The sequence below is a fragment of the Homo sapiens genome, chromosome X, assembly GCF_000001405.40.
Source record: "Homo sapiens chromosome X, GRCh38.p14 Primary Assembly".
NCBI classification, from domain to species: Eukaryota; Metazoa; Chordata; class Mammalia; order Primates; family Hominidae; genus Homo; species Homo sapiens.
The window spans coordinates 10,057,951-10,081,889 of record NC_000023.11 but is presented as its reverse complement, the minus strand read 5'-3'; the positions used below and the strand labels follow the sequence as shown (position 1 = coordinate 10,081,889).

Genomic DNA, 23,939 nt, shown 5'->3' with positions numbered 1-23,939 from the left:
TCCCAGTTACTGGGGAGACTGAGGCACGAGAATCACTTGAACCTGGGAGGGGGAGGTTGCAGTGAGCCAAGATCACACCACTGCACTCCAGCCTGGGCGACGAGAGCAAGACTCTGTCTTAAAAAAAAAAAAAAAAAAAGCTAAAGAAGAAGCTGTGCTAATACTAACTAGGGTTAATAAAAGGAAGCTCTGACTGTAGATCCAAAATGCACACAAACACATAGCTGGGTAATGGTAGATAATTACATCTGTACCTCACATTCCTTTATTACCTCCCCATAAAGAGCAGTGCTGCAGTCACGTGTGTCACCTCATGCATCTGCATGCAGGATGAAAGACGGCAACATGGTGCCCACCTGCGTCAGTAACAGTAACCACACAGAGTTGGACTAATTGTTTCGGGCTGGGCATGTACCAGGTGCTGGTGCTGTCCTCAGTATAACTGAGCACAGTGATTGCTGTTATGGACTGTGTGTTTGTGTGTCCTCCAAATTCTTATGTTGCAGCCTTACCCTCTAATGTGATGGCATTTGAAGGTGGGGCCTTTGGGAGGTGATTAGGGTTAGATGAGGTCACAGGGTGGGACCCCATGATGGGATTAGGAAAAGGAAGAGAGAACAGAGTTTTTGCTCTCTTAGCCATGAGAGGAAACTGCGACAAGATGGTCATCTGCATATCAGGAATCGGGCCCTCACCAGGAACCAAATATTGGACCTCCAGCCTCCAGAACTGTGAGAAACAAATATCTGCTATTCAAGTCACCCAGTCTATGGTATTTGTCATAGCAGCCCGAGCTGCCTAAAACAATCACCATTTGCAGATGAGAAAAGTAGGTGCAGAAGGCGTGCGGCACATGCGCAAGTTCAGCAAGGAAAGCCAGTGAATGGAGAGAACGGCTCAGCAAACCTTCAGACCCACACCAGCACCATTTCTCAAACACCACCTTTAGTTCATGAAACCTGCAGACTCGATACAGCTCACTAATTGTAAACAATTCATCCCCAATCTCTTAGTAGGGATAACGTTCTTATTGTAAAAATGAGAACAGGAGGAAGACCTACAGACTGGAATGTCCAAAGGAGCTTTCCGTGATGATGGAAATCTGTCACCTATGGTGTTCAATACAGTAGCCACCAGCACGGTGGTTCTCCACTGGGAGCAAATGTGTACTTTAGGGGACACTTGGCAATGTCTAGAAACATTATTGGTTGTCACAATACAGGTGGAAGGTGCTACTGGCATCTAGCGGGTAAAGAGTAAAGACAACATTCTTTGTGTTTTTGTTTGTTTGTTTGTTTTTGAGAGACAGTCTCGCTCTGTCGCCCAAGCTGGAGTGCAATGGCGCAATCTCGGCTCACTGCAACTTCGGCCTCCCAGGTTCAAGCGATTCTCCCTGCCTCAGCCTCCCGAATAGCTGGGATGACAGGTGCCCGCCAAGCGATTCTTGTGCCTCAGCCTCCCGAGTAGCTGGGATTACAGGCATGCACCACCACGCCTGGCTAATGTTTGTCTTTTTAGTAGAGATGGGGTTTCACCATGTTGGCCAGGCTGGTCTTGAACTCCTGACCTCAGGTGATCTGCCCGCCTTGGCCTCCCAAAGTGTTGGGATTACAGGCGTGAGCCACCAGGCCTGGCCAAGACAAGACAATTCTACAGTGCATAGGATAGTCCCCCCAAGACAAGAATGATCCAGCCCCAAATCCCACTAGTGCTAAGTGGTGGAGAAAACCTGCACTAGCCACATGTCACTACTGAGTACTTCTGATGTGACTACTGAGACTGGGAAACTAAACTTTTAATTTTCTTTTACTTTAAATGTCAATTTTAGAACAAAAAATTTAAAAGACTAAAACTAAGAAAAAGTCAAATTTAAATGTAACTAGCCATGAGTGTCTTGCACAGCTATAGTAAACGTGCATAAACATAAAAATAAAGGTCTTGTTTCCCAAGTATTTCCATTTAAAGCAACGAAATATCTTCAAGGAAAAGAGAGATTCTGAAGTTAGCATTGGAAAATCATGAGCATAAATAAAGGCATGAAAGTGAAGGGCATGAAGCTTTGGGACAAGTGTCCAGGCAACTCACTCTTGCAGGGTCTCCACCCCCTTTTCTTTGTACTGCAGTTCCTGCTTCATCTGGGTCAGCTCTCGTTTTAATCTGGAAAGCTAAAGACAAATCACATTTTTTTTCCCAAAAACCAGCTGTGAAGAATGATTTCTACAGTTGTTATTAGCACTGTCATCTGAGTTTCTACTCAGCTTGCAGTTCATAAGATCATCTATTCTCACTACAAACTTCCATTCACATGCATAAGAAGCAGCCTTTCTAGAAGACCTGCTGTGCTTAGATACAAAAATCCCAGATTGTTGACAGACTCTTACGCAAGTGGGGAACCAGCAACTATTTGCATTTTCAAGGTTTCCACATTACAGCTGGCAACTTCTGTAACGCATTCTTCATCTTTCCTTCTACCCACTCCTCTCAGACCCCGCACATGAAACTTTGTGTCCAGAAGCGAGCTCTCTGACTACCTGAAACTCAATGGCTCCTGGAGTGCTTCTTTAAACAGATTCTGGGACCCGCTCCAGGCCCACGTCAAAACTCAGGGGCTAGGCCTGGAAGCTCGCACTTGGAACAAGCTCCCAGGTATTTTTCTTAGCTGTGCTAAAATTTGAGAACCACTGCACTAAAAGATACACCCTGATTCAGGGAATGACACACCAAGAGAGGAGCAGGCTTCATTGCCAAGATGTTTCTTGTGCTTTGTCCCAAATGCAACAAAAGTGTTTCCCTTCCCAGACAACCAAGACAAGGGTCTGAAGAGACGAAACATGGTAGCACATAGATAATTCAGGGGTCACCAGGGAAGAGCATCAGAACCCTCAGAACTCTTCCAGTCTAACACTGCTAGCGATCCCTCCAGGAGGAGTCAACCAGAGTAGAACACCAGCGGCCTAGGCTATAAGGCCCCAGGCTTCCGTCCACCTGGTTGTAAAAACAGCGGTTTTACTCACCCTATCCCGACGACTTGCTATTTCTGCTTTAATTTGGTGTGGGTCATACTTTGTATTTGTTGAATATCCAGAGAATGCTAAATAGAAAGAAAATATTTTATTTTATAATGGATCCTTCAAAATACATACACACAAGGAACTTCTGATTTACTGCATTAAAGGACTCTAAATCTCTGATTTACAAGTGGTCACTGGCTCCTAAAGAATTGACATTTAACATCCTCAAATCTTCCTGATGTTTGATATTTGCATCAGGACTTTCTATAGGATCCCATATAATAAAATACATGGCTGTAGGTCAATCAAAACTCTGTTTAGTTCTACTATAAAACTACTACAGTTAAACACCATATAGACACAGCGGGGGTACGGGGTGAGGGGGAAGAGGTGTGATTATGACATAGGAAACTGTACTTAATACGTGAATAGTACTTGCAGTATGAACCTACTTTTACTTTCTTTTAAAACACACACACACAGACGTCACTGGAAAGATAGAACCAAAAAGTTAACTGCAGTTATTCTCAATGGCTGCATTAAAAATGATTTTATTTTTATTTTCTTCACACTTATATTCTCCGGATGAACAATTTTTGACACAAGAAAGGAAAAAAACATTAGAAATTTGTAAAATAAAAAAGATTTCTAGTAATACGTCAGGATCTGGCAGGCTTGAGAAAAAAGATGGGCCCCCAAGTTGTTTGTCCCAGAAACTGAAGTGAGGCACTCGTGCTTTTACTCTAATAATTTGTTTTGATGAATGTTTAGCTAAAAGACATCACATACCTCAATGCTTTCCTAAACAGTGCAGTGTATATGATTTAAAGTCTTTTTACAGACATGGCATCATTATCGTGAGTAACCAATACCTAGGGATGAGTAAGAGCCACAGAGCTGTTTACACGCTAGGCACAGTCAGCAAATTTCTGTGCACACAGAGAGCTGCAAGCTTTTTCCAGTGTTACGGAAGCTGGAGCAGCGAGTGGCTATTCCTAATTTCTACCACCCCATCCACCGCTCTGCGGTGCTTTTTCTTGATGCTTCTGCCTCCTTTCTTTAGGTTTCTGAAGGCATGGGCTCTATACCACTGCTGCATGGCTTCCCTTCTTCTGCTTAGCTAGTGGAATGCTGGTCTGTCTTCATCTGTGAACCACCCCACTCTGGTGCCCTCTGCCTCCCAGCTATTGTCATTAACATCACCTGCTCAGAAGACACATCTGCAGGGACGGAGTCCTTTCTTTAACGCCTTTGATCTGAGAATCAAAGGCTGGCTGTCATTCAGATAACTCAGGTGCCAACAATGAGAAACCAATTCAAAATCATTTGTGGACTATGTACTGCAGAGGATGGCTCAACACCATTGAGTAGCTTCAACAGCACAATTACTTCAAACCTCAATTAGAACCACATCCAAAGTTCACTTGAGCAGTTGGATCTCCTATTTTAATAACAGTTCTATGGAAAATCTACTATTTAAGTCCCATTCAGTCAGAATTTCAAACAACAGAATCTACTGGAAATAAACAACTGGAAGAGCTAAATGTTTGCCAACTTTATCTCCAATTTTCTTATACTTAGACTCATGATCTCTCAAAGACATGGAGTAAAATATTTTACAAACAATTCTTTCTTAGACAAGACTGCCTATTTCCAAATCCTACATCTTCCATCTTGCCTGACTCTTTGGTTTCATTTAAAATCAGTAATGAAAGCAACATCTCCAACAATGTCCTTAAAAGGCAGAAATAACTTATAGAAAACATCTCCATATTAAACTCCTGGGACTTTAAGTTTCCCAGATCTGAGCTTAAAGGCCTTCTTTCACTTGGGATAGAGATAATATGCAAATGAGGCTATGAGGTTAGGGCTTGCTGAATCCTGGCTTACAACACTACAACACATGTGTCAACTTGTCAACTTGCAGTGGGAGGAACACAAGCCCAAGAGTTATCACCTGGGATCTTTCCCATTAAGGGTAGAAAGTAAGCCTACCACCAAAGTTCAACAAAGTTCACTGCAATGCTAAACATTAGTACCGGTCAGGCGCCGTGGCTCACGCCTCTAATTCCAGCACTTTGGGAGGCCGAGCCAGGCGGATTACGAGGTCAAGAGATCGAGACCATCCTGGCCAAAATGGTGAAACCCCATCTCTACTAAAATTACAAAAATTAGCTGGGTGTGGTGGCAGGTGCCTGTAATCCCAGCTACTCAAGGAGGCTGAGGCAGGAGGATTGCTTGAACCCAGGAGGCGGAGGTTGCAGTGAGCCGAGATCACGCCACTGCACTCCAGCCTGGCGACAGAGCAAGACTCTGTCTCAAAAAAAAAAAAAAAAAAATCTGTACCAATCTTCCTCTGTCTATGCAGTTTCATAAGGAAAATTAGCAAAGAGACTTGAAATACGCAGGGGAGGTGTCTTGGATACTGTTGGACATCTACACGGCAACCTTCCCCCATTTCTCCTTCCTAAGTACCAGAACCCCGGAAGTGTTGGGTAGCTACCTCTCCCCAAGAGACTCAGCATGTATCCACTCCTAGAGGGGGAAACTGACAAACCAATGACTCCACTGAGTCACTGAATCCACCTATGGGGAATCCCACCCCACCTCCAGAGGACTCCGCTATGTGACAATGAATTTTCTTATTGTCTAGGCCCATGAGAATTATTCTTCTCTGCTGCAGCTGAAACCATCATAAGTGACAGAATACCTTTTAATTATGTGGATCCCATTCATGTTACTTTTGCTATGGTCTCTATAAAATTATAAAATTCCAGGACTGGGATAAGGGAAAAGTCTACTCAAGTAACTAACACAGTGAATACATTTTATCTTCAAATACTAAGGATGGTTGTGAACACTGGCATAACTTTTAATAATGTAATTAAATTTATAAATAAAATTCTCAGTTCCTCAGATCTGCCAATAAGACTACTAGAACCATTTACAGAGTCCAAGAACAGATCAGGACTCCAGACCTCATAATAGCGTGTACTACACAACACTTCTTTTCTTTTGGAGACAGGGTCTCACTCTGTCACCCAAACCAGAGCACAGTGGTGTGATCTCAGCTCACTGCAAACTCCACCTCCTGGGTTCAAGCGATCCTCCTGCCTCAGCCTCCCAAGTAGCTGGGATTACAGGCGCCGCCACCACACCCGGCTAATTTTTTGTATTTTTAGTAGAGATGGGGTTTTGCCACGTTGGCCAGACTGGTCTGGAACTCCAGACCTCAAGTGATCCACCTGCCTCAGCCTCCCAAAGTGCTGGGATTACAGGAGTGAGCCACCGTGCCCGGCCTTCCACAACATTTATAAACGGAGTATCTTCCTCTATTAAGACATGTCTCCAATCTCGAGGTTTATGCTAAAGACCAGACTTTCACCTCTGAAGCTTTCTTCTCTCTTGAAGAGTTAAGTGGGCAGAGCTATTAAATAGCATATGGAGTCTGCTCAGGCATACAACATTGCCTCAGATAATATAATAACAAGGTTATAGCCTAGCTGGACCACAGCAATGTAAATTATTATACCTTGCTATTACAGGGTGCCTTTCACATTTATTTAATCTATTCTCATAAAATCTTTGTGAAGGTGAAATGATACTTATGTGTCCTTGCCCATTTTATAGATTAAAAGACTGAGTCTGTAGTGACTTGATCTATAATACATTATGCCATCATTCATAGAGGGCTTCATGTCTAGAATCTGGGCTCCGGTGGGTCAGCTGCCAAAGATCCTTTAATTGGGCTAGCTTTCCCAGAAGAAGAAACGGTCCTCCAGCTCCCCAGTGCCCACCACCCAACAGGTGAACTTGACCTGTGTATTTAGGACTCAAAATGCTGCAAACCCCAGTACTTAACTCTGGATTTCAGTTTGACAGATTACTGAAAGGGGAAATGTGTGTGTCCATGAGTCTGTTTGTCTTTGTCTCTCTTATGTACAGGCGTCTTCTGAGCTATGGGTACCTAAGGTCACCCCAGAGACAAGACATGCTTTAAAAGACCAGCAGTCCTTCTTCAAAGACATCCTCTGGAGCAGGTTGCTCCTTAGGACCAGGTGTAGGCCTCCAGGGATCAGCACTGTCAGGAGTTGCTCAAGGGAGCCAAGAATGACTCTGGGCAAAAGGCCGACAAGCCCTGACAGGTTCCAGGTTGACAGGTACTATCTACCAGAGAGGCACATGGAGAAATACGCAAGGCCAACAAAGCGGGCAGGATGGGTTTTTTTTAAGGCAATATAAGCAAAAGACCAAAAACAATCAAGTAAGGCCACCTGGGGGTGATCTACAGAAGTAACCCAAGAAGCCACCAAATCCTAACCAGGAATTCTCCCTCCAGGACAGACTAGGGGATTATTTCTCAGGAAACACATGTGCTTTGCTGCAACCTCCAAAATCTGGCTTGCTGACTAATACATGGGAAAAATGCTCCATGATCCTTTTTTCTCCTGCCTGCTCCAACATGCGTGTGTGAAGGAAAACAAAAGGTTGAATTGGAATGGATTGCCTGTAGCCCTGTTCCTAACCAAAGACAGCAAATGAGAAATCCTTCAACAGCGAGAGCCCCAATGAGGCCGGGTGCGGTGGCTCATATCTGTAATCCCAGCACTTTGGGAGGTAGAGGCGGGCAGATCTCTTGAGTCCAGGAGTCTGAGACCAGCCTGGGCAACATGGCAAAACCCCATCTCTACAAAAAGTACCAAAATTAGCTAGGTATGGTGGCGCACATCTGGAGTTTCAGCTACTCAAGAGGCTGAGGTAGGAGAATCGCCTGAGCCCGGGAGGTTGAGGCTGCAGTGAGCCAAGATCACACTACCACACTCCAGCCTGGGCAACAGAGCAAGATCCTGTCTCAACAACAACAACAACAAAAAAACAAAAAAACAAAAAAAAAAAAACAGAGCACCAATGGAAGAGTCATTGTGAGACAGGCTTGGAGCCTCAGAAGGAATGCTGGCAAGGCTGATGGCTGATAAGGTCAAGCTTCACCACCACCTAATCCAAGAACTCAGGGTGGATCAGCACTTTCTCACCAGAGATAACGCTGCCTCTTTCCTAGCCACCCAGAAAGACTTTCAATGTAGACTTTGAGTAACTCCTAGGAACTAGGATAATAAACAAAGTCATATTCCTGCTGCTACAAGGGCCATTCACACTCTGTCTAGCCCAGTGGATTTCAACCCTGGGGATCACCTGGGAAGCTTAAAAAAAAAAGCCTGGTCCCACCCAAGGCCAGTTCTATCAAAATCTCTTGGGGTGAGGTCCAAGCAGCAAGTTTTTAAAGATTCTAGCTTGCAGCCAGGTCTGAGAACTATGGGTATAGACCAGGAATTAGCAAACTTTTTCTCTAATGGGCCAGACCCTAAATATTTTTGACTTTGTGGGCCATACAATCTGTCTCAAATACTCAATTCTGCCACTGTAGCTGCTACAGACAATAGGTTACTAAATGGACATGGCTGTGTTCCAATAAAACTTTATTTACAAACACCCACAGTGGATAGGATCCAGCCCACAGGCTTGACATAGTTTGCAGACCTGAGGTTTAGACTATTATCCTACCCCATGCAAGAATTTCTTCCAAAAGATCCTGCAAATGGTCATATATAGTTCATCTGAATGTGCCTGGGGCTAGAGTTTCTCAGGAAGAATAAAGGAATAACTCCAGGAAAAAATGTGTCTGAGATAATGAACGTATTCAGTGTTAAAAGGCAGGCAAATAGAAGAACATGTTGCAATAAAGAAAGTAGAAGAAAACTCTACAAAATGGAGCTGTAGAAAAAGTAGCAGGTGTGTCTCAGAGAGAATGAGTCCATTGTTGAGCAGTTTCACCCCAGTGTTCTACGAAGCATAAATGAGGCCTGGGCATCACCAGGCAGCTAGCACAGAAGCTCATTGAAATCAAGCAGGGTTGGGTTCCTACTCTCATGCAGACAAGTGTGCAAAGCATCCAGCCAAATATCTGAATTTGCTTTCAGGTCAAGGCACGGATGTTCTTAGATACCAGATGGCCCAATACTGACACAAAATCTTTCCTCTCCAATGCATGAAGTTTTCTTCTGGTGATTTCCATAGCTCGAGGGAAATGTGTGAGGGGTATAGGTGAGATGCACTTCTCCTCCCTACCTTCTGCTCCCACATTAGAAATGGCTGTTCCAGTTAATTCCTCTGTTCACACATTATTGCCTCATCTTTCCCAACAAGCAACCATTAGGAATAAAACGTGTTCCCGGCTGGGCGCAGTGGCTCACGCCTGTAATCCCAGCACTTTGGGAGGCTGAGGCAGGCAGATCACGAGGTCAAGAGATAGGGACCATCCTGGCCAACATGGTGAAACCCTGTTACTAAAAATACAAAAATTAGCTGGGCATGGTGGCATGCGCCAGTAGTCCCAGCTGCTCAGGAGGCTGAGGCAGGAGAATTGCTTTAACCCGGGACACAGAGGCTGCAGTGAGCCAAGATCGCGCCACTGCACTCCAGCTTGGGGACAGAGCGAGACTCCGTCTCGAAAAACAAAACAAAACAAAACAAACAAACAACAAAAAAAACATGTTCCCGCCATTTAGTATATATCAACAGCAGGTGCTAACTGTCGAAAAATAAATGAACAGTTTAGTGATCTTACATGGGCCATGGAAAAGTCAAGATCTAGAAAGTGCTCTGCCTTCCACTTGCCCCCTTTATTGCTGCAAAATTTCCCGACAACTTGTCAATTTATAACTAGTCTTTATTTTCAGATAACCTGAAAGTTGGATGGGGGAGGGGTTCCACAAACACCATCAGCTGTTCTGAGTGGCCTCTTCCATGTCTAGGAAACCGTACAGAGCACTGAAGGCCACCAACACAAACAGATCTGGGCTTAAATCCAACTTCTACCATCTGCTGGGTATGTAATCCTGAAGAAATAATTTAGCCTCCCTGATATTCAGTTTCTCATGTGAACAATAAAGAAAACAGCACGTGCTTGACAACACTGTGATCACAACAATGCACAGAAAACACCAGCTCATTGGATATCGGTTCCTTTCACTTCAAGTCATTACCCATGAAGAAAGAAGTGGGAATTAAGTCCAGATGTTATTCTGTTCACAGTATCAGAAAAAGGAGACGCCTCCTGCTTTAGATGACTGGCACTGAGGGAGATCTGGGCAGTGAGACCCGTGTGGCTACACAGCCAACGTGTGCTATGGAAACTGCCACCAGCAGCTCCCAACATGGGCCCAGGCCCTCTGGCATGGCTGTAGAAGCCATCTGTTAGATCATGGTCAAGCCAACAAAATCACTGCATTGGACTTTATCCTGTGGCCAGAAAGAATTCATCTGAGTCCACTCTAGCAGGGTTTTCCTTGTTGTACCTGGTAGTTCGGGTTAAATGGCAGATTGAGAGAGCTTGGTGGGAGCCCTAGGGACAGCAGCAAGTTGATAAAACACTTGGATCAACTCCTAGATTCCGTTCAGAGTTGGCTTTTTCCCTGATGAGCTGACAGGCCCCAGGAAGACCCACTGGCATCTCCAGCCCTTTCACGAAAACAGGCAGGCCCACTTTTGGCCTCGAAGGCAACCTACACAAGTGGAGGGAGAGATCGTATCCACACAGAGACATCCAGCAGGTCAGGAAATGGAATCTGGTGAGCACCTTAGAACCTCAAGTCAACAACAGAGTCATCAGCTTCCTCTACTGAAGGAACAGATACCACTTCAAAAAGAGCCTCTTGAGTGTATCTTTTTAAACGAGCATTAATAAAATCCCATAGGGCACAAAAAGAAATGTAATTGAGTAGAATTCCCTATTTGCCCAAACATCAAAGAAGTGAAAAGCCCATGGAAATACAAAACCTGATCCTGCAGGATCCTTAGCAACTCAGGATGCTGAAGTACTGAATACTCTTAACCTACAGCTTGGCACTGCATTGGGGTTCCCCGTTCACTGCCCCTCAGAGTGGGTGTGGAATCAGACAGGATGTTCTAATGTCTGCATCATTGAGGGCATCCAGTCCAGGGTCCCCACAGTCACTGCAGCTGACATCCTGGCTGCACTGGTGGTAGCCAGTACATAATACACACTTTCTCTAGACTCAGTTTTTCTTTCTTTCTTTTTTAATAGAGACAGGGTCCTGCTAGGTTGCCCAGGCTGGTTTTGAATTCCCGGTCTCAAGTGATCCTCCTGCCTCGGCCTCCCAAAGTGTTGGGATTACAGGTGTAAGCCACTGTACCTGGTCTCAATTTTTCTTTTCAATCACTGGCAAGAAACATCCTGCCAAGTTTTTCTGATATGTATTTCTTCCATTTCATTCTTTGAAAGACTGATTTGAGAGCCTCTTTGGAGACCTAACCAAACGCAAGCATGTAAAAGATAAGGTACCCAAAGACTGCTGGAAAGAAACACACTATTAGGTTGGATTATAAGAATAGCCAATATTCAGCCCTTTTCTAGATACAAAAACAGCAATTTTATACCATTCAACCCAACTTCTACCAAGCAGCTTTCTGAAATGTTTAGAATTGCTAACTATATAATCTCAGAACAGGTTATAGGCCAATGCTTCAGCTAGGGAGACATCAAGGCACCAAGCCCATGGGCTTCTGGTCATCAAAAAGACTGGCCAGGCACGGTGGCTCACACCTATAATCCCAGCACTTTGGGAGGCCGAGGCAGGTGGATCACCTGAGGTCAGGAGTTCCACACCAGCCTGGCCAACATGGCAAAATCCCGTGTCTACTAAAAATACAAAAATTATCTGGGCATGGTGGCGGACACCTGTAGTCCCAGCTCCTCAGGAGGCTTAGGCAGGAGAATCGCTTGAACCCGGGAGGTGGAGGTTGCAGTGAGCCAGTGAGCCAAGATCGTGCCACTGCACTCCAGCCTGGGCGACAGAGCAAGACTCCATCTCAAAAAAAAAAAAAACCAGTATTCTAGGCCATAAAAGTAATCTCAATAGATTTCAAAAGACTGAAATGTTACATAGTCTCTGACCACAATGGAACTAAGTTAGAAATCAACAACAACATGACATCTTTAAAAAGTCCTGCTGACTTACTTCTAAACAACCCATGGGTCAAAAACCACCAAAAAAAAAGGAGAAATTATTTTGAACTGAAAGAAAATACAGCATATCAAAATTTATGAGATGCAGTTAAAGTAGTACTTAGAGGAGAATCCTTATCTTTAATGGCTATATGAGGAAGTAAGAAAGATCTAAAACCAGTGATCTAAATTTCCACTTTAGGAAGCTAGAAAAGGAAGAACAAATTAAAGCCAAACTAAGTAGAAGGAAAGAAATAATAAAGAAGAAAAACCAGTAAGATAGAAACAGACAAGAAATGGGAGAACAGGGCAAAAGCCAGTGTATTGTAAAGATAGATAAAAATCAATAAAAGTTTAGCTATACTGATTAAGAAGACACAAATTATTAATATCAGCAATTAAAGAGAGGACATCACTTCAAAGCCTACAGACATTAAAAGGCTAATAAGGGAATTCTACAAACAACTTCATAGACTTGACAGCTTAGATCACTGGGCAGCAAACTCCCTGTGGGCCAAATCTAGGTTGCTACCTGTTTTGATACTTCTACTGGAACATAGCTAGGCACATCTGTCTACATGTTGTTTCTGGATGCTTTTGCAATATAACTACAGGGTAGAATCGTTGGCACTGAGATCATATGGTCGACAAAGTCTAAAATGTTTACTATCTGACTCTTCATAGAAAAGTTTGCCGACTTTTAGATTAGATGAAATAAGACAATTCTCTGAAACACACAAATGCCAAAACTGATTCAAGAAGAAACAAAAAATCTGGATACCTCTCTATTAAAAGTATTGGATTTGTAGTTAAAAACATTCCACAAAGAACTCCAGGTCCAGGTGGCTCTTTTGGTGAATTCTATGAAATAGTTAAGAAAGCACTAATACCAATCCTACACAAACTCTTTGAGAAAACAGAAGAGGAAGGAACATTTCCCAATTCATTCTATGAGGCCAGTATATTACCCTCATACCAAAATCAGAGAAAGATATTCCAAGAAAAGATGACTGTGAAGATAAGAAACCAGCCTCTAAAACTCCACACATAGCTGACCTATCACAATCTGATGGGAAGTTAAAAACAAAACAAAGCCCTCAAAAAAACCAACCAGGTATGTGCCACTATCTGCAGAGATGGAGATAAGATGGCTTGGAAGCAACACATCAGTAAAACTGAGTTCCCTGTTTCCCTCAAGACACACGGAAATAGAAATATCTTCAATTCCTATTGCAGAGGGAATACCCCACTCCTGGCCATAGCTTCTAAGGCTTCTGCCCCGTCAACAGTTGCCGCAATAAAACAGAGCACAAAACGTGTGGCCCCTTAGCCTTACCTCCATTCTGACTTGCAACACAGAATAAAGCTATAGCTGTGTGTTTAATATCTGCCATGGCAACATGGCACTAATATCACAGGAAAGGCCCCAAGTCTCAAACAGACAGGTTTTTATAAAATTCAACCCAGTGGTACCAACTTTCATCCATTCTTTCCAAGCTCACGAGTGCCCAGGCCAGTCACAGTCATGCACATCTGTTGGGGTCTGTTGAGGGTGAAAGTCTGCTGGGAAGGAACTGGCTCATGTGGTGACTGACCGTGTCCACAGCAAAATGCTTTGGGTTCTGAGAGTGGACCTGGTTTCTTCAACACCAAGCACTTGCTGAGTACTAATGAAATGAAGCCCCCCACTCTGGCAGCCTCCAAAACTAGAGAGAGGTCCCTTTAGAGAACAGCAAGCTGTACATGGTCATCTCACCTGAGGGGCAGAAGGAGAGTCCTCCGATTCTCTGGGTTCTATGGTGTTCCTCCTCCTTCCCTGTACTGCGTACTAAAGCCTACAGCCCAAGAGGAGAACTCTACAAAGAGACAGGGGGCTTGACATGGCTGAGGTCTCCTGAGTCTTCCCACTCAGAATGAATGAAGCCACTGTGTGGATTTCCCAAGAGATCATCCCAGACAAGCAGTGTTAACTGCAGAGATTTCTGAGGGAAGCCCTCTTCAAAACTGACATGCATGAGACAGGCAGCTGGTACACATCCCTACCTGAAATTTTGTTTTCTTGTTTATTTTTTACCTTCCCCACCTGAATGTGAGCTCAAGGGCAGAGACCTTTCCTTTCTTAGTCACCACCAACCATAACCCAGTGTCTGGGCACAAAGTAAGCATTTGATAAATCCTTGCTACAGGAGTGGCTGCCAGGTGCCCACCTGATTTCAGTGCCAAATACTGATGACCTAACAGTATGCGATTAGAACCTTTATGAAGCTATCTTGCCCAGGGAAGGTTCAGTGTTTGCAGGTAACCTAGCAGAGAGATGGCTTTTAAAGTCACAATGGCTTTTAACAGGAGATAAGTCAACTCACAGCTGGCGTACGAGCGGCTGTCATCCTCACACATTTTGTGCAGCTGCTGGTATTCCTCCTGGGCCAGCTCGAACCGCTGCTGCTTAATCTGGTAGATTTCTTTCTTGGCATTGAGAGCCTCCTGAGCTACAATTAAATATTCCTTCAACATGCGCTCTTGCTCTCGCCTCCACTGTTCTCTTGGATCCTCAATCTGGGTAAGTTCTGAAATTTAAAAAGGTAAAAACATAAGTGACTTAAAAGTAAAATCCTTAGGTTGACCAAGAGTCATGCAGTGATGTCACTCATCAATGTGAAAATTAATTAGTTACCAGGATGCATATTATGGAAGATTTTATATCACAAACCTTTCCAAAATGTGGAACAGTTTCCATTTTTATATCCACAGTGCAGATGAGAAGGAAACTCTACAGATATGAAACAGTCCATTGGAGGAGGGAAGACAATACAAGACAATGTTTTTACCAACAAAGACCACACTCTAAATAAGCATGGGAGGAGATGAACCCACAAGAGCTCAGAACTGTGACACTAATTGCTATTTATGACCTTCTCCTCATTGACTCCTTCTGTGTGAGATGATGGAAACTCTTCTGTGCCCCTGGCCTGGCTAGCCCCCTTCTCCTTTCATTTTCCAGACTAGACTGTGTAGTCTTTTCCCATTCCTCACCGACTTCCTTGTCTCCTCCCACCATAGCTTCCCTCATGTGCACTCCTGCTTCCTCCCCGTCCAGCTCTCCAAGGGCCTGTGCCTAACTCCAGCTCCAGCCTCTCTCCCCGGCTCCAAACTTTCATTCCCCCCTGCCTCCTGGATGCACCTCCACATGGATGGACCCAAAGTCATTCCCAGCCATTCATCCAAAGCAGCCCTCATTCTCCACACCACCTTTCACCACCAAGAGCAAAACCAAACGAAACATCACACAGCACACGCCTGCTTCTCCTGTCTTCCGCAATCTCCTGTCTTCCCCTTGTGGGGAGCCGCATCATCTGGATCTAACTGCGGAGCCAGCCTGGGAGTGCAACCTGGGACTCATCCTCAAAGAATCCCACTCCTCTTCCTCCCGAAACATTCGGTGGGTTATGAAGAACTGGAGGTTCCTGCCCCTGGATATGATCATCACTGGCGACACGCCCTTGTCTCTGTCTCTCCTTACTTCAGTCAGACTCTCTGGGCCTTCTGGTCTCATCCCACCAAAACCCATCCTCAGGGCACTCTCCAAAGTGACCTTCCTAACTGGGATGCAATGCTTTCACACAGAAACCTCTTTGAAAGCACAAAGTCCAATCTCCTTAGCCTGATACAGGAGTCCCAAAACTCACTTATCAGCCTCATCTCTATTTTCCGTCTTTTTCCCCAAAAACATTGTCTACACAGACTGAACTTCTGCGAAGTCCCCAAATATGCTTGGCTGGCCCCCCGGTGCCTTTGCCATGCTGACTCAGACCTCTTCTGTCACAGGAAGGCCTGCCGTCTTCCCAGGCACGCTGCAAAGGCACCTTTTCTTCTGAAGCCTTCTCTGATCCTCTAGGCACATGCGTCTCTCCCCTGCTTACGCGGGCTGCCCTTCTTCCCCCTTAACACTGAGCACATGAGTGTTTTTATATCTTTTCTGTTTCCCATCTAAACTATGGCCTCTAGATGGCAGGGGCACAGCCTCAGTCACCTTTATACTCTCAGGACCTTTCACTTAGTGCATACAACAGAGTGGTTTGTATAAACCATATACAAAGGAATAAAATTCCATAAAAAGGAATAAAGTTCTGATGCTCGCTATGACATGGAAGAAACTCAAAAAACAGCTAAGTGAAAGATGCCGGGCACAAAAGGCCACATAGCATCTGATTCCATGTCTATGAAATACCCAGAACAGGAGACTCCACAGAGACCGAAAGCAGACTAGGGGTCACCGGGACATAGGGGAAGGGGAATGGGGAATGACTGCTTAATGGAGATGAGATTTCCCTTTGGGGTGAGGAAAATGTTCTGGAACAAGATAGAGGTGATGGCTGTGCAAGACTGCAAATGCACCAAATGCTACCAAACTATTCACTTTAAAAATGGTTCGTTTTACGTTCCGTGAAGTACACCTCAAAATGGTTAAAATGGTAAATTTTACATTATGTCTGTTTTGACACACACACACACACACACACACACACACACACACACGGTGTGCTTGCTAGAATGTTTCCAGGTAAGTTCTCCTTGGAAATGCCTTCCCTGTCTGCTCTCCTGTCAATATCCTTTGCTCACCCCTTTTCACACCATCCTAGAAAGCCCCTCCTAGAAAGCCTCTCCAAGCCATAAAAGCTCACAGGAGGAGATTTACAAACCAAAACAAATGCAAAATCAGAGTCCTGCTCTTGTCTCAGAGATGAGATTCAGTGGGCGTGGGGCATCCGTACCACCAAGCCCTGGGAAGGACGAAGCGTGTTAACGAAGCCACGGGCATGTGCCCAGGTCCACAGCATGGTGGCCCTGTGAAGTGAGCAGCTCTTACGTGTTACCAGCTGCCGCTTAGACTATCAGCTGGGAAGCCTAGCTCAAAAGGCCACATTTACCCAAACACACACAGCCGTGAAGTGCCAGGCTGGCAGAGAGCCACTGGGGCCTCTCAGCTTCTCTTCTGCCAGGTACTTTCCCTGTCCAAAAAGCAGTGGGTCCACCTAGAAGTCCTCCTGCCACCCGGACCTGCCTGGGAGGGCAGCAGGGCCATAACGGTAGGTATCCCCTGTCTCCAATCACCACTGCTCAATCTCTGGATAAGAGCTGCAATCGTGCCCAAGGACGAGTGCCAGGCACCAAAAACCCCACTGCCCCGAGATCTGAGATGGGGGACTCAGATCTTGGGTGCCAGCAACTGACAATGTAGGAATCAGCCCTGAAGACACCAATCTGAGTTGACTGCACAGTGGGGACATGAGGAGTCATGGCACTGGACTAGAAAAGTGCCTCAAAATCACTCAGGTGGGGGGCACCATGCACCTTCAGACCCTGCAGCCGCCCCGCACTTCACCAACCAAAGGACAGAAAGTAAGCCAAGGGGAAGCCATGCTTCATATCCTGGTAGTGAAATGACAATGACAGAGCCACTGAGGGAAGCCAGAATGAAAATGAGAGAGAGTGAAAAATGGATTCCCAGCTGGGACCCCATCGAAGAAAGCTGACGAAGAGACAGCCAAGATTAAGGGGCAAAGAACAGATCTAGAACAGGGTTCCTATATCCTGGCACCATTGACATTTGGGATCGCCTCATTATCTGGTGAGGGGGGGCTGTCCTGTGCATTGTAGGGTGTTAAGCAGCATCCCTGGTCTACACCCACTGAATGCCAGCAGCACCTCTCCCAGGCACAGCCACTGAAAATGCTTCCAGACAATGCCAAGTGTCCCTGAGGGATAAAATCACCCAGGATGAGAAGCACTGCTCTAGACAGTTCTACAAAGGAGGCTGGCATGGTCAAAGACCCATTGTTTTTGCTATGGTCTCTATACCATTACACACACACACACACACACACACACACACCCCCCGAAAAGGTTTGGTGTATGAAAGCTAAAGTTAAATGTATAAGACGAAATGAAGTGAACATAATCACTTGGGCACTTATTCCAATAACTTGTCAGTTCCACTCTGCAACAAATAATTTTTTCATTATGAGAGGTATCTCTATTTCCAGACTGCCTGGGAAATTTATTCCTTGTAATAGTTATTAAAACCCTCCATTAAACATATTATATGCAGTCCCTAGCAAGACACAAGCAAGGTACAGCTACAGAACTGCTTCACTTTGTGAAGAACTGAGCTAATGGAAACTTCGCATTACATTTATAAAACCCAATTTAATGCTGCATTGGAAGGTAACGATTGTTAAACTCTACAAAAAGTTTTTGGCATCTTTGATATAATGCCACAGATTTTGCACACTACTTACTATTTATGTGGTCCATGTAATAAACTCCAATTTGTTTATCATATACGGTTTCCCATCCTAAAGGAAGTTCGTCCCCAACACAATCGGCAAAGGTCAATGGCTTTGTTATCCTGCAAAATAAAATTATGAAAACAAATTTGAAAGTCAGGTCAGTTTTGTATAAGTTTGCTTTATCTTATCTAATTGACTGCTTTTGCTCCAAATATTTGGTTGGAAAATTAATTCACCAGCTTTGCCTAAATAACTGCATTAGTACACTTGCAATCAGAAGCATTACTATCTCAAAGTGCAACTTTAAATGTGAGCAAAAAGAGATATTCGGTTACTAACAAAACAGGTAAAGCAAGCATCTTCTTCCAAGCAGTATGTTTAATGAGGTGACGACAATGGAATGTAGCTCTTCCAGAAAAATCAGAGAGCACCTATGCTCTGTTCTCATTCCCTGAGAAATGTTCCCCTCACAACTTTCAGTTTCCATACATTACACATGAACATTGGCTTAAATCTATATAAAATGCATTTGCAATATTTTCATCTACCACTGGTCATGAGTTTAATAAACATCAACCATTGGCCAAATGCAAAGAGCCAAGCAAGGTAACAATACAATGATACCCACGCCCTCCCCCCTACTAAATGCTTCCTGTATTTCTTATACAGTAGGAATCAGAAATTTCAGAGTCCTTTTTTATTTTTCTGGAGAAAAACAATAAAAGCACTTTGTCTACAGGCATCTCTCCCTGAAGAAAATCTGATTGAGGAAATTTGGGCTTGACAAGAGAGATAAAGTAAAGAATTTTCAGATGGATTTTTAAAAGTAGACCTCCCCCCTCCCCGATCCCCCATGATCACATTGATTGACAAGACAGTGTTAGGACTGCAGCTGTCATATAAAACGAGACACACCTATAATTGTCTGAGTCTGGGCAGCTATCTCTTGGGCTGTCTCTATAAATGCACACTGACTGCTATGCATGGGAATCCGATCACCTACATTTCACTAAGTCAATCCTCCCACTTCTTCTGTCCCTAGACCTGAGAAAGTGACACAACCACAGCCAAGCCCCATGAGACCAGTATGAATTTTGAACACGTAATTTCCCCAAACTGGTTTGACAACAAGGCTGTCTCTCCCCAGGGGCATTCAGAAATTGATAAACACCATCAGAACAACACTAGTTTTAATCTTCATTCTAAACACATGGTTTTAAGAAGTTAGAAACAATATAAAAACAGAAATATACAGAAGGTGAAATATGCCATATATATCCTCCCAAACACGACTCACTCAAAAAATCACATCACAAGATGAGCCTACTGTATGTAGTTTGTCCCATCCTGGAACTGATGTCTGCAGCACAATGCCTTTACCAGTCAGGAACGTAATGCCGTATCGAGGGTCCCAGTCAAGCAGGTAACAGCAGACTGTTGTGCATGATTTGCATCCTGAATGGGACCCAACCACAGCAAAAAAGAAAATCCTACTTTAACACAAACTGAGTTCTGAGCAAATTGCTGCTAGTCTAACGTAATGATATTCACAAATAAGCCTCTAGAGAAAAATGCCCATGCACAGGTACATTCTAAGCACATTTACATACACGATCTCATTTAATCAACAAATACTGGCCAGGTGCAGTGGCTCACACCTGTAATCCCAGCACTTGGGAGGCCAAGGTGGGAGGACTGCTTGAGCCCAGGAGTTCAAGACCAGCCTGAGTAACACAGTGAGACTCCATCTCTACCAAAAATAAAAAAAAATTAGCTAGGCCCATGCCTTAGTCCCAGATACTCGGGAGGCTGAGGTGGGAGGATTGCTTGAGCCCAGAAGTTCGAGGCTGCAGCGAGCCATGACTGCACCACTTGCACTCTAGCCTAGGTGACAAGACAAGATCCTATTTCCAAAAATAGACAAAGTAAACAAATATAGTTGAGAAACCCATCCTTATAGCACTGCAGAGCCAAATTCTGGCACGATTTTCAATAACAGCATTGAGAATGTCTAGATGTATTTTCCTAATTATCATTCCAAAATATTTATGGGCCAGGGATTTCATAGTTTTCTCTTGTATAGCATATCCTATCTATCATGAATACTCTAAACTTTACCAATATCAAATGATGCTTTTCTCCCAAGAAAGTTATTGGTGAGTAACATTACTTCAGTCATAAATAAATCACTTCAGAGGAGTTATTCAGTTCCAGAATCTATTTGATCACATCTTTTTTAAAAAAGGCTGGTCAAGTGAAGCAGTGGGAGAGGAGAAGAAACAAAGAAATCTGTAATTGGTTGTGATCAATTAGTTGTAAACACCACTGCACTTAGATCAGCCAAAGGAGAGACGAATAAATCTTGGCTCCTCTTTCATCGTCAGAGGGGAAGTATCTGGAGGTGTGGAAAACTGGCGTTTTTTGGTGGTAACTTTTCAGCAAGGAGTGTTTTCTGGCTCTTGCTGGCTAAAAAGCATGGTTCCTGCATGTCAGGATGAGGCCGAGGCCACCCAGGAGCGATCTCAGCCTCATCTGGGGACAATCAGCACCCTCAGCCAGGTGGTCGGCTTCATCCTGGACAATCCCATGATCCCTCATCCTGCCAATGATCATCCTCCCACTTGGGTGGAGACACTGATGTCCAAAGAGTCTTCCCCAAGCACAGTGGCTCTCCATGCAGAAATGCACAGCATTGAGCTGGGCGTGGTGGCTCACACCTGTAAACCCAGCACTTCGGGAGGCCAAGGCGGGCAGATCACCTGAGGTCAGGAGTTGAAGACCAGCCTGGCCAACATGGCAAAACCCAGTCTCTACTAAAAATACAAAAATTAGCTGGGTGTGGTGGCGTGCACCTGCAGTCCCAGCTACTCGAGAGGCTGAGACATAAGAATCGCTTGAACCCGGGAGGCAAAGGTTGCAGTGAGGAGAGGTTGTGCCACTGCACTCCAGCCTGGGTGACAGAGCAAGACTCCATCCTCAAAAAAAGAAAAAAAGAAGAAATTCACAGCACTGAGTTTGCCAGAGCAAACCTCCTGGGCTGGTGTGAAAAGTCCTCCCCAAGCCAAGCCCATACAAAGCTTCTGGCTCTTTCTGCTTCAACTCCCTACCACCGCCCCTCTGCACCCCCCACCCCCTCCCCAACACACACACAATCTCTTGTCCAGGCAAATGAGTTTGTTTACCCGCCTTCCAAAACATCACACTCATTCCAGTCTAAGCAATCTGTTCTCGGTCTTTCCTGGACCTGTGGAGAGGCTTCCTCTTCCCCTCTCGTACCCCAATCCCATCAGCCCTGCAAAGGCCAGCTTGACCCTATACAAATCATCACCGCCAAACACCCACGGTCTCCACTGCCTGGGAGCCACATCCATTCTCAGTCACTGGACACAAAACACCGCTCGTCATGTTTCTGACATTTGTACACATCCTCCACATAAATGAAGGTTAGCTGTTTAGTCTCCTCACTCAACCACACTCCAGCAGGGATCTTGGAGGGAAAAGAAGCTTTTGAAGCTGAGAATGATCCTAAAGCACATCGGCTTTACTCCTAAGAGAGTCCTTCATGTCCTCTCTCAGAAGCCAAGGCCATGGTGACTCCACATATCCGTACCTGCAATTTCCAACACACCCTTAAACTGACCCTCAATGCCAGATTCACACTTCTCAGTATTTCCCAAGGAATCCAGAATCCAGACCTTCGCATGGGAAAAAGTTCAGTTCGCAGAGCATCTTCACGTCTGTCCACATCACATGGGCAATTTTTACATTTTATTGCACGGTTTACAGTCATTGATAGAGACACAGAATTATCTCACGGTAGAGCCAAGGTGGGCCAGAGACGGAGGAACCAGCTTTGTGGGCCTCAAAGCAGCCAGGCTTACATCTGGTTTAATGCATTTTGTTTGTACTATTTCATCAAAATAAAAGGATAGAAAAAATGAAAATGCTAGTGCTGGCATAGGCGCTGTATGAACTGTATACAGTTAAGAGGAAAGTAGAAATTGCTGGGTATGTGGAAAGGCTAAACCCTTAGCCACAGGACTAAGTTGAATCCAAAAAGAAATTTAATGCAGGCGAAAAAGAGTCAGAAATATGTCAAGGACTATGTGTAAAATATAAAGCAGAATTGGAGATGTTCAAATATTTTCGGTTCTTCAGGAAAGGAGCCCTGGGCTATCCCCTTCCCCAAATGCACTAAAGTCTTTCAGCTTTCCCATGCTCATTCACATGTATGCGAAAGCAGGGGAATGGCAATACCGCAGTTTACTCCCCTCACAATAAAACAGAAGAGAAAAATTAAAAGTGGAAAGCGGCACACTATCACAAGGAGGAGCATAGAGAAATCAGTGGTCTATTACCAAGTGGAAGGAGACAGGAAATCTACAAACAAAACAGGAGAGCTCAAACCACCCAACTGAGGCCATTTAGCTTCAAATGAAAAAGAACCTGACGCCTCAACATCTCCCAGATTCTCCTCTATTACAGCATCATCCAATGACTTAAACTCTCAAAGACATCAGGAATTTATTTATGCCTAATTTTAATTCTCCAAGCTATTTTCACACCTACCAAAGATGTAGGGCTTCTAATCTTGTGGTTAAAGTGTCACCAGGGGGAATATTTTCTATTTTTGTAAATGTCATTTTGTTTTCCCCAGAGACAGGGTCTCACTCTGTCGCCCAGGCTGGAGTGCAGTGGCACAATCACAGATCACTGCAGCCTCAACCTCCCAGGCTCAAGTGATCCTCCCACCTCAGCCTCCTGAGTAGCTGGGACCACAAGCAAGTGCCACCACACCCAGCTATTTTTCTTTCTTTTTTTTTTTTTTTTTTTTTTTTTTTTTTTTTTTTTTTTGGTAGAGACAGAGTCTCACTATGCTGCTCAGGCTAGTCTCACACTCCTGGGCTCAAGTGATCCTCCCACCTTGACCTCCCAAACTGCTGGGATTACAGGCATGAGCCACCACGCCCCAACTGATTTTCATCATATTTGATTTTACTAGTTAAAATGCTGAGAAGACAATTGAAAATAAAGGTAGAGCTAAAAAGAAAAAGCACTTTGTTCTAAGATCCCTGTTTCTCTGAGTATGGTACTCCCCCATCCCCAGTTCTAGTCAGTTTCAACTGTGATGGGGTTCCCAACATTGACAGCAGTCCCAAAGTAGAGTATTCTGAAATAGTCAGGGCCAGTAGATCAGCTGGCTAGGGCAGCTTCTCATTTCTGACCTTAGAATCCTTTTTAATACATGGAAATAATATTAGATAATAGAATTTGAGCAAATAGATTAGCAATTCAATTGTGTCTTCTTAAAAACATCACTAAGCCTTTTAATAACTTTAAAGACCAATTTTTTTTTCTGAGAATCGTAAAAAGCGTCCTTATTAACTACCCAGTGGGGTATTACTGGTGTCCAAGTAGGGCCACAGATGGGCAGGGGATATCAAAAGGAGAGAGGTGGCTGAGAAAGAGAGGAAGATGGGGTGCAGGATAGCAGCGCGCACACACTAGTATTTCCTCTGAGGTTCTGTCTTCACCCACAGGGATGCCATCTCAGGTTCTGGAGTTCTCATCTCCCCAAAAACTTGATGCTAGATTCTCCCCCACCCAATCCTT

General features: G+C 44.4%; 1 protein-coding gene across 1 annotated transcript in view; it reads right to left on the bottom strand.

Annotated features, from left to right (window-relative positions):
• Nucleotides 1-23,939, bottom strand: part of WWC3 (WWC family member 3) — a 129,221-nt gene that overhangs the window by 62,585 nt on the left and 42,697 nt on the right. The window contains 4 exon segments of the mRNA NM_015691.5: nucleotides 2,086-2,165; nucleotides 3,015-3,091; nucleotides 14,400-14,603; nucleotides 18,336-18,445. Of these exon segments, the coding sequence (NP_056506.3) occupies nucleotides 2,086-2,165; nucleotides 3,015-3,091; nucleotides 14,400-14,603; nucleotides 18,336-18,445 (471 nt within the window).